Source organism: Homo sapiens, chromosome 16 (assembly GCF_000001405.40).
Source record: "Homo sapiens chromosome 16, GRCh38.p14 Primary Assembly".
NCBI classification, from domain to species: domain Eukaryota; kingdom Metazoa; phylum Chordata; class Mammalia; order Primates; family Hominidae; genus Homo; species Homo sapiens.
Genome location: NC_000016.10, coordinates 47,965,642 through 47,976,993, shown reverse-complemented (window position 1 = coordinate 47,976,993; position 11,352 = coordinate 47,965,642). Strand labels below are relative to the sequence as shown.

The window sequence follows — 11,352 nt, the reverse complement described above, 5'->3', positions numbered from 1 at the left end:
TAGGTTAAAAAGAGCAAAGCAGAAAGGTCCTATAAATCATGCAAAATGAGCTGTCTGCTTATGCAGCTGCACGGCAAAAATGCCTCAGTGTACAGCATGTATTTTCCCTTCTTGATGAGAAGCAGCAGCCTCAAACGCAGAGCATGAGCTCCATCGTCGGTGACCTCAGCCCACCTCTCCGGCTGCCTCCTCTCCCCACACGGGCACTCTTACCTCACTTCATACGCCAGGTCTTCCCCACGGACATGCTGACGAGAAGCTGATACAGCTTGAGCTAAACCTAAAGGGCTGGCTGGCGAAATGTTACTAAAACACCAAATGGCTACTTCTGCCTTTATTTCAAGTATACATAATTCAGCACCTATGTGGCAGAGGCTGGATTAGGCTTGCTGCCTCATTTTTAAATATTTTACTGCATTTGTGAAACAGACGGACGATCTCCCTTCCCCACTGACCACGACCCTGAAAAGAATAGCAGCATCATGCAAGGAAGAGGTTTAGACGTAAACTTGATCCAGTGCTGCAGGGGCCCCTGTGACTGTCCTTGAAGGATGGCCAAGGGACTCAGTGGAGCAGGTTGAGGACGGAGTCTACAAGGCAGTCCTCTCCAGGCAATGTGGTGGCAATGGCTTATCCTAGGACCTGGGGCCCAACTTGCATGGTTGAGCAGTAGGCCCATGCTCCAGCCCTTTACCATATCCCTCAAGTAATTTGATTGGACCCCATCTTAACATCTCGGTTAGGATGTCTTGGCCCTAGACTTTTTTTCCTTTTTTTCTTTTTTCTTTTCTTTTAAAGACACGGTCTCACTCTGTCACCCTGGCTGGAGTGCAGTGACACAATCACAACTCACTGCAGCCTCAAACTCCTGGGCTCAAGTGATCCTCCTGCCTCAGCATCCCAAGTAGCTGGGACTGCAGGCATGTGCCACCATGCCTGGCTAATTATAATTTTATTTTTTGTAGAGATGCATTCTCACTACGTTGCCAGGCTGGTCTCGAACTCCTGGCCTCAAGCAACCCTCCTGCCTTAGCTTCCCAAAGTGCTGGGATTACAGGCATGAGCCATGGTGCCCGGCCAAGAATTCTACATTAATTTTTAATTCCCTGGACCTTTTGAAAAGAACATAATTGGTGTCTATATCATGATACTCTCACCTACTATACCTACCCTCTTCCTGCAAAAAACCAACTTTCTAGAAAACAGAACAAGTGCTATACCCAAAATATCTGACAAGAGTTCACCAACATAGAATAAACACTAAATTATTGAGAGGTTTGTGGTTCCACTATGGAATATAAAGACATAACACCTTGACAAACTGAAAATAATATAACCAACAAAAAATCAGGAGGCAAGAGGAGGGACACAAAAACGTAAGCAGGATGAGGGACTCATCCACCATAGTTAGAGTCAAAATCCACTTCAGAAATTGAAATAGAGTTAACAACAGAAACAGAAAATAGAGTTAACAACAGCTTTAGAGTTAACAATTCAAAAGCTTTCCCAATATATTTTCTTGACCATAGAGAAATCCTTTCGGGATTTAATAATACTCGTGTTTTTTTTTTTTTTTTTTTCTGAGATGGAGTCTCACTCTGTCACCCAGGCTAGAGTGCAGTGGTGCGATCTTGGCTCACTTGCACCCTCCATCTCCCAGGTTTGAGCAATTCTCCTGACTCAGCCTCCCAAGTATCTGGGACTACAGGCTGTGCCACCACACCCAGCTAATTTTTGCATTTTTAGTAGAGATGGGGTTTTACCATGTTGGCCAGGCTGGGCTTGAACTCCTGACCTCAGGTGATCCGCCTGCCTTTGCCTCACAAAGTGCTGGGATTACAGGCGTGAGCCACAGCGCCGGGCCAGAATCTAATAATACTTGTAATAAGAAGTGTTTGATAGGAAATTTCTTCAGTTTCTCATCAGCTCTTTCCCATCTGTTGAATTCATACAGTTAAATTTAAATATTTTTATTTTTTTTAAAGTATATATAGGGCAAATCTTTTGTTTGTTTGTTTGTTTGTTTTGTTTTTTTGAGACAGGTTCTCATTCTGTCACCCAGACCGGAGTGCAGTGGCACAATCACAGCTCACTGCAGCCTTGACCGCTCTGGCTCAGGCAATCCTCACACCTCAGGCTCCCAAGTAGATGGGACTACAGTCATGCACCACCACACCTGGCTACTATTTTTATATTTTTTGTAGAGATGGGGCCTTGCTATGTTGTCCAGGCTGGTCTCAAACTCCTGGACTCAAGCAATCCTCCTGCCTCGGCCTCCCAAAGTGCTGGGATTACAGGTGTGAGCCACCCGCGCCTGTCCTAATTCAATTCTTAAAAGAGTATTTCTGTCTTTTGCTCCATGTATACATTCATTCCAGATGTCTGGAAACATGTTTACAAACTGTTAATACTAGACAGTGGAAGTTTAACTCGTTGTTTCAAAATTTGTGTTTTTCTGCCTTGTTTGCATTTTTACCATGAGCATGTACTGTATTTATATAAAAAAATGAAACCATGACTCAAAACAAGTCCATGACTAGGGGTCCATGGATAGCTTCAAGATAAACTCTAAAATGATGTGCAATATTTTATATATTCATATGTGCACATTTTTTTCTGGAAAATGTGTCATATTTTCATCAAGTTATTAAAACCGTTCATGACTCCTGAGTGTAGTTCTCTGTCTTCTACATTTCTTTCCTTCTTTTTTTTTTTTTTTTTTGAGATGCAGTTTTGCTCTGGCACCCAGGCTGGAGTGCAATGGCATGATCTTGGCTCACTGTAACCTCTGCCTCCCGGGTTCAAGCGATTCTCCTGCCTCAGCTTCCCAAGTAGCTGGAACTACAGGCATGTGCCACCACGCCCGGCTAATTTTATTTTGTATTTTTAGCAGAGACGGGGTTTCACTGTGTCAGCCAGGATGGTCTCGATCTCCTGATCTCGTGATCTGCCCACCTCAGCCTCCCGAAGTGCTGGGATTACAGGCATGAGCCACTGCGCTCGGCCTCTACATTCCTTATACCTTTGGTTTTTAGGCTTCTAGCCAATAATACAGCGGCTCTTGACTATCATCTCAGTGCCTCGCACTGTACCAGGAACTTTACATGTATTGTCTTTGGGTCCTCAAGCAACCTTATAAGGTAGATATGATCATTCCCATGTTACGCAGAAATAAGGGTCACGAATTCTCAGTCACTTGCCCGAGGTCACACAGCAATCCGAGGTAGGGCTTGTGATCTAAACCCAGCTCTGCTTGTGTCTGAAGTGCACACTTGCCTTCCTACATTCTGCTTCCTCATCAGACAAGTCACTGGAAGTCATTCATCTGTCATTATTTGAGGACCTGCAGTGTGCTGGCAGGGTCCCAAGAGCTGGGAACACATCTGTGAACATCAGACAACAATCGTGCTCTTCTGGAGCTGATATTTGATCATTATAATTCTCTGAGGCAGGCAGGTATCAGTACCCCTACTTATTAGACCATCCACCTAAACTTTAGAGAAGTTAAAGATTTACCCAAGTTATGCAGCTATTGGGTTATGGAGTCAGAATATCAAACCTGATAAGACTCATCCTTAAGTTTAAAATATGCGCTTATTTTAAAATCATGTTATACCTTAATAAAAATGGTGGAAGTGATAGAATATAAAGTTAAAGATAAGTTCCATCCTTCATTGTCTCTAGCCTCACCTGATGAAGGCTGTTGGACATCCTGAAACAGGCTATGTTTTTCCTCACCTCTCTCACATTTTTCTTTTCGGGCCCTTCTCTCCATTCAAATTGCCCTATTTTGTCACCCAGGATCCTCAACTTGCTCCCAATTGCTTAAACACAGCTGTCTGTCCTGCTCCCTCTTCTCCTACTCCCCAAAATACTACTTGGCACACTCTTTCTATGCACTCGTTGATCACTGAATACCTAGAGGATGCTGGGCATGGTGGCAAGTGTGGGGAGGCACATTCAGAAAGAATAAGACACAGGCTGTCTCCCTCCAGGGGCCTGTATTTGCACTTTAAATTGGGATTTTTCAACCCAAAAAAGGCTCTAAGATCTAAAAATGCAGCTCAAATGGTAGATTTTTCAGGTACTTTAAAAGATATTCCATTAGACCATTTGTTCATTATCCAGGAGCTTGCCAAAAATGCATATTCCCAGTCTCCCTCCTCAGATATTCTATACTCTATAGTTCTGGGGTGGGGGGCAGGAATCTGCACATTCAGCAAGTTTCCCAGGGTCCACGTACAACATTTTTTGAAAAGCATTGGTGTACTGGGGGAGATTGTATTGTGCACCCCCTCTAGGAATCCCACTGTGATGGCCACACCCATGATACTTCTGTTGAGGAACTTATCACACTCGATTGCAGCTGTCTGTCTGTGTCTACCACCAGACAGTGGAACCCATTCCTATTCATCTTTGTAGCTCATGTCTCTGGCACATAGTGCCATACCAGAGACATGAGGTAAACATTTATCAGATGTATAAAGATGTGCACAACTCCACATTAGTCACACACACACACATCATTGTCATCATCACCATCATCATCGTCGTCGTCATCATTGTCATCTACTGTATTCACATGGAAAAAGCTGGTCCTAGCTCTGCCCCACTACGTGGTGCCTGGCATGAATACCTGCTTTTGCAACATGCTAAGAAGGAAGGCTTCATAAAGCCATAGTTGACTTGGCAGCTGGAGAAAAGTACAAAGGCATATTGCAAGAAGAGAGTTAAACTCTTGATTTATTCCCATTTCCATCTAGCATGAAACCTACAATAATAAAATTGAGTGTTTTGGTGAAGATCACAGAGCAAGTTGTTCAGATCTAGGGATAGAACTACACATTTTTTTTTTTTTTACTTTCTATGAAGTTCTTATTGCTCTGATCAAATCTAAGAAATCCAAACCCAAACATCTGTGATCTCATGCCACTATCTTATAGCACTTGTGGCATTAGTAAAAATATAATTATATATTTGTAAAATCTTATTTTTCATATTGTAGATACAATAAATATAACTAGAATATCTAATTCTTGACAGCAATGGATCATCTTGCAATCACTCCACTTTGGGAAGCCCTACATTATATCAGGGGTTCATAAATGCTCTTCTAGTTTGGGAGCCACAGGGAAGGAAGCCCAGCATCATATGCAGAAATAAAAATGGAAAGATTTAAAAGACAGAGAGAGATGAGGGAGAAAAGCAAGAAGGAAGGGAGGGAGAGAGTGGAAGAAGGGAAAGAAGGAGCAAGAAGAAAAGAAAGGAAGAAAGGGAGAAGAAAAGAAGCAAAGAAGGAAGAGAGGTCTGAAGCCACAGATTTTTATTTGAAGATGACTGCATTATATGCACAGGGGATCATTTCACAATATTAACTCACAAACAATAAGCTTGGATTAGTCAAAGGCACACTAAGGTCAGATTTGCTGTTTCCCACACTTTCCTCATTGCTATGTATAATTAAGTGAATTTGGTAGGACACAAAGTAAAAATGCCCCTCCTTCATGGCATCCCTAATGCTTCTTGAGAGCCCACGAATGCATTTATGGCCAGTATCTCTGTAATCCAGGCAGCACTGTTTTTCACGTTCAGCTTCCAGGCACTTGATTGAGACTCCAGCACAATGCATCCCTGATAATAAAACAGATAAGGTAGTTACTATGTTTAAATGGAGACAGCCCATTTGTGAATATGCCAGAATTTGCTGTAATAGAATTAAATAAGGAAAATACTATTGTGAACCCAGAAAATCTCTACAAGTGCTGAACTGTTTATAACACATTGCTCTGTACTTCACATATTTTGAAAAAACTTTAAAGGTCACCTGGCTCAATCTCCAAACTATAAATTAAATATTGAAAAACAAAGTCACATTATCTTTTGAGAGGCCTCAGTTTCTTCATCTGTAAAATGAGAGGACTGAACAAGGTTTATTCCAGTTTCAACATCTCATAAGTCAGCAAGAATACCTAGGAGCAGTAATTAGTCATGGTCCCTTTGGTGCATGGTCAAGCATATTGAGTAAGGAATGAAAACTGTATCTCTCTTATTTGCTTCAAATATTAACTTACAAATGCTAACTTTAACTTGAACTGTGTAATGGCAATCTGATTTAGTCTGGAAATTATACCTAGATAGATCTAGAAATAGAAACACTTCCACTTCTTTCAGGGATAACCTTTCATTTCTATGATTTTACCTGACCCCTTACCAAATGTGAAACCTCAGTAGAAGTGTCAAAAGGGTAGCAAAGTTTCTAAAGAAAAAAAAGCAGGTTTTCTCAGACTTCCACAAATGCTAATTACTCATAATGACAAGTCATTACCCAAATCAATTTCTGGAAAGTCACAAGGACTTGACAGGTCAAAGCTGAAATGTCATCTCAGCCTCCAGTAAGAGACTCTGCCAAATTAACCTTCAGCATACCCACACACCCTTTTTCCAAAGAGAGGAAGCACAAATAGAAAGGAAGATTCAGCACCTTGGAGAGAGGAAACCGACTCAAGGTATACACATGGGAAGATGAGAGAGGCCACTGAGCTCCAGGAGCTAAGGGCTGGTATAAGGGCGTCCTCCAGCACAACTTAAGCTACATGACATAATTATGGCCTTTTGTGGGGACAGGACTCATGCAACAGACACAAATGCAGCTCTCTGAAATTCAGAAGTGGGGACATGGGAACATCTGAGCCCTTTGGGATAGGAAGAGGCTGAGACACTTGGCTGCCGATAGCACTGGATCTCATTAAAACAAATGCTAGTTCTAGACGGATTTCTATTAACAGATTTATTCATTATTTAATTTATGCATTTGAGCATGTATTTAGTCAACAAATGTTTTCTGAGTATCTACTTTTTGCCAACTACTATTCTAAGTTCTAGGGGTTCAGTGGTGAATGACTTGGGTAGTGTTTGACCTCATCAGATTTCCAAAAGGAAAACAAACAGTAACTAAATAATCATTCAAATAAGAAAATATAATTAAGTTCCACACTTTATTGAATACACTAAAGAGAATGAATAGGGGAGAATGAGAGATTTGAACAGACTACTTGACTTAGTCAAGAGAGAGGACATAGATAAGAAGGCAGGATCTCCTAGTAGAGGGGCAGTAAAAGGACTAAGACAAAGGGATAGCAGCATTCCAGGTGGAAGGTACATTTTGTGCAAAGCTCTGAGGTGGGAATATAAGAGGAACAAGAAAGTGAGGGCAGTGTGGTCGGAACAGAAAGCCAGTGTAAGGAGTAAGGAGTGCAGAGCCTGGAGTGGCAGGCAGAAGCCTCTGAATTACCAAGGCCAGGTAGGAACAGGAGAGAGGCAGAGGAAGAGGGTGGGAGGGAGCATGCTCTGAAATTCACAGGCCAAGTCTGGCACAGAGAACCAGATCCCTCGAATAAAGGAGGCTGCTTGAGGGCTGTAAGTACCTGAATAAATCATGGAGAGCATTGTAAGTGGAGGTAAAGAGTTTGGAATTTACCCCACATGCAACAGAAGGCCACCAAAGTATTTCAGTTGGAGGGCAATATGATCTGATTATTTTTTAAACATCACACTGGATATACATGGTAGAAATGAAAGGACAAAACCACACAACATGGAGCATCTCAGAAAGATGATGAATTTGAAAAGCAACCCCACAAGTCTACGTACTGTGAGATACCATCTTTATACAGCTCAAAACCAAGAAAACTAAGCAATACATTATTTGAGATAATAATGTATTTCATCCGATAGATGGGATGAAAGAGTATTTGTAAAAGGGAACTATAAAGATGACATTCAGGATAGTGATTACCTCTGGGAAAAGAAAAGAGGGTGGGGTAGGGGACACAGAGATACTTAAGGTAGTTACTAGGTGCATGTTCTAGTCCTTAAGTTGGATGATGGGTTTTGGAGCATTTATTATATAAATTCATTAGGAGGCAACTGAAGTATTTCACTTGAAGACCAATATGATCTGGTTATTTCTAAAAGATCACACTGGGTATAGATGCCAGAAATTTAAAAAAACAAGAAATATACAACAGTTCTATGTATCAATTATTATATTTAAGAAAAAATTACTCATTCTGCCTACTATGTGGAGAATGCATGAGTGGAATCAGTGAGACTAGTTAGGAGGCTGTTTCAGTTTCCTAGATGGAAGCTTCCATTTTACAGACTCCAGAAGGTCTGAGATCAGGCCCATAGCCCACCATTATAGTGGCACCATTCCATGTAAAATAATGGGATCAGTACATTTTTATTTAATAAGATCATGAATTTTCAAGTAGAAAGAGTGGCTAGATATATTGAAACTCAAGACATAGGCTCATAATGGTTATTGAACTGCCAACTCTATAGCAACTGCATGTTTACAAATCACCTTCACATTCATTATCTGTTTTTCTCCAACTATACGACATTCATTCATCATGCAGGAGGGAAAGTGTCTACTCCAAGTTCACACAGCAAGGTGAGGATTGAGCTGCAGCTGGAACGCTCCAAGTTGGTGTACTCTTTCCAGGATATTTTGATGCCTTTCAAGCACCAAACATAAATGATTACCTTTAGTACTACCTCACCTCACCTCCCAAACCACTCTGCTTCAGCTCTATCATATTTTGGCAATTATCTTTCAAACTCTGTTGTCTGTATAGTTTGTTACACATGCACACACACATACAGAAATACACACATATATACATATATATGTATATATATATATTTAGCATACCTATTCTCTATAAAATTTTCTAATTCTATATGCCCAGCCTCAACAATTTCATTTGTTCATTGAGGGTGATATTTAAGCTTTTTCTCTTTCTTTTTGCAACCCATAGTGTTGCAAACATAGTGGGCATGTTGAGGTACTGCCACCTATCACCCCAGGGAATCTCCAAAATTGATTCAGTTACTCTAGTGACTAGGTGGGTTCTCCTTTTCCTAATTGCTCCAGGCTGCATGCTCTGTTACAGAAAAAGGCTTTCTTATACATGAGGGGATTGTTATTCAACAAAACTATTCAAAACAAACTTACCCTCCTGCTAGAACTTTCTAAAATATAACCCCTACACCAGACACAGTATAGTTCATGAGCAAATCATCCTCTGCATTCTGGGGCAGCAGTTTCCAATTCGCCAGATGCTAAGACATCTGATTTCTTTTTACAAAGGCCCTAGGTTCCTTCCCTACTCTTTTTAATTATAATCCTGGATCCACCATCTCACCCAAGTCCACCATCAAGAATATAAGAAATCTATTCCTGAGCAAGGGAGTAACTAAGATCAGGGTTTATCCTAGGTCTAGAAGCAGAGCCATAGAAATCAAGATGTAGGATGCTGAGTAGGTAGATGCAAGGATGAAGCAAGGTAAAAAACTGGAAACATCAGGGCCTCAATGACCAAATCCAGGTAGGAGCTTAAGAGAGCAGTAGCAGGAAGTGTTAGGAAATCCTGTATTCCAAAGTTCACAAACTGAAACAGGAAAAAATGCACAGAAGGCCAGTCGCTAGGAGAGATGAATCTTTTTGAGGACCTTAAACATCTAGTGGATTTGTTTTTCTAAGAATAAAAACGTTAATATCTATTAAGCATTACATTCCAGGTACCACTATAATCTATTTCATGCATTGTCTCATTTAATCTGCACAAAAATATGACTTTCCTTTTCTTCCATTTTGCAGAAGAGGAAGCTGAGACTTAAGAGAATGAAATGACTTACCCCAGGTTACACAGCTACTGGGAAAGAGAAGAAACAGAGACAGAGAGAAGTTGGGCTGGATTTGAATCTAGACAGTCTCACGTGCAAGCTATCATTTAGCCAACAATTGATATTACTGTCAGGTGTTCTGTGGCATTCACCTCCCTCCAAGATTTCCTGACAACATACATCTGTATTATAAACATTTTAAACCAATATATATTGATTTGGCATTGACAATTGCACATGTTTATTCTCGGAGATGACTAGAACGAGCTCAGGATTGAGAACCACTGCTTTGGGCTTGAAAAGACCCTGCAGATAAAGACATCAAGATGCTTTACCCTCGAGACCCCTTTGGAGGAGTCACTGTCTCCGTCGTAACTCTGCACAGTCCCTCCAGCAGCTGTTGGATGACTTCCATGCCCTGGAGTGTTAAAGGAGGAGAATGGGGGAAGAATTAGAAGATACAGAAGGACAAGTCGAAGCATCGTAATTCTGATTTTAAAAAATCAGGACACCATAGAAATTCTATTTCTGAAGATTTATACTCCACTTAATGCCATGAGGACTTTAGGTGGCTAAAAAAAATCTTGTAAACTAAACAGGGTTATTGGATTGTGAAATTGAGAGCCATAAAATTTAAAACAATTTCATATGAAACTTCAACTTTTTTTTGAATTTCAAAGTAAAAGAGGCAGTATCAAGAAAATTTGAATTTCAAACGAAGAGGAGAGGAGCCAAATTTCTACTTTGCTGACAACTGAAAACCCATCATCAGTCCAGGGTGACTCAGGTTAAACACCTGCTCTGGGGCTGATGCCTGAACTTGCCCCTGATTCTTGCTGTATCAGGTTTGAGACTAAATCAGGCAACTCCTGTCTCCTAGATTCCTCTCAGTGTCTGCAGGAGCCCTCTTTCTTTTTTTCCTATGGAAAGGCCGTTGTAATGTCTCGCCCACTTTCGCCTCTTTGTGAACATGGCACCAGAACTTTGCACTTCACACGGTCTATAAGATGTCATCTTCTAATTTTTCCCCTTTTGTGTTAAATGTCTTTTTCCAGTTGAAAAGTAAGCTCTTTTAGTGTAAGGGCACTCTCTGATGCCACCCTTGCTTGTTCCATTCTCAAGTGAGCAGTAGCTTAGTGCAGTGACTATGATTTGAGTTTGAATTCTGAACCTCTGTGACATTGAACAGATTCCTTATCCATTTCTTCTGTAAAATAGGATTAAATAGGCAAAAAGTACTTAACCCAGTATCCAGCATATATTCATTCCTCAATAAACCTTACTTAGCATTACCTTTTATTGACTGGAAGAAATGGCTTTAGGACTTCATACACAGCTGAGGCACTCTAATGGATGATTTCCTCATTTTTGCCTCTCCAAGTTCCGAGTCCTCCCTTTTCAAGATTAGAAGCTGAACGCTTCTTCTATCCCCTCCCACCCCCATCACTACAGCTCCTCTCCATCTGATTCAAGTATCTATTACCATCTCATTGAGATGCCACTTAGACAAGGCCTTCAAATGTGGAGCTGCAGAAGGGGCTGGGTGTAGTCTGGGGTAAAGGACTGCCCATTAACATTCAATCCATAATAGAGACCATTATCTTGGCAGCAAAATACCCCAGCAGTAGTGATGTGAGGAAAGGGGGGTGGGTTACCAAAGCA

The 11,352-nt window shown here is 41.0% G+C and overlaps 1 long non-coding RNA gene across 1 annotated transcript; it reads right to left on the bottom strand.

The window, feature by feature from the left end:
* Positions 1–5,306: 5,306 nt before the first annotated feature.
* Positions 5,307–11,305, bottom strand: LINC02134 (long intergenic non-protein coding RNA 2134). The gene is made up of 2 exons (NR_146502.1): positions 10,984–11,305; positions 5,307–5,631 (listed from the first exon to the last, which is right to left on the bottom strand). It is a non-coding gene; the product is annotated as a long intergenic non-protein coding RNA 2134 (long non-coding RNA).
* Between the last annotated feature and the right edge of the window lie 47 nt (positions 11,306–11,352).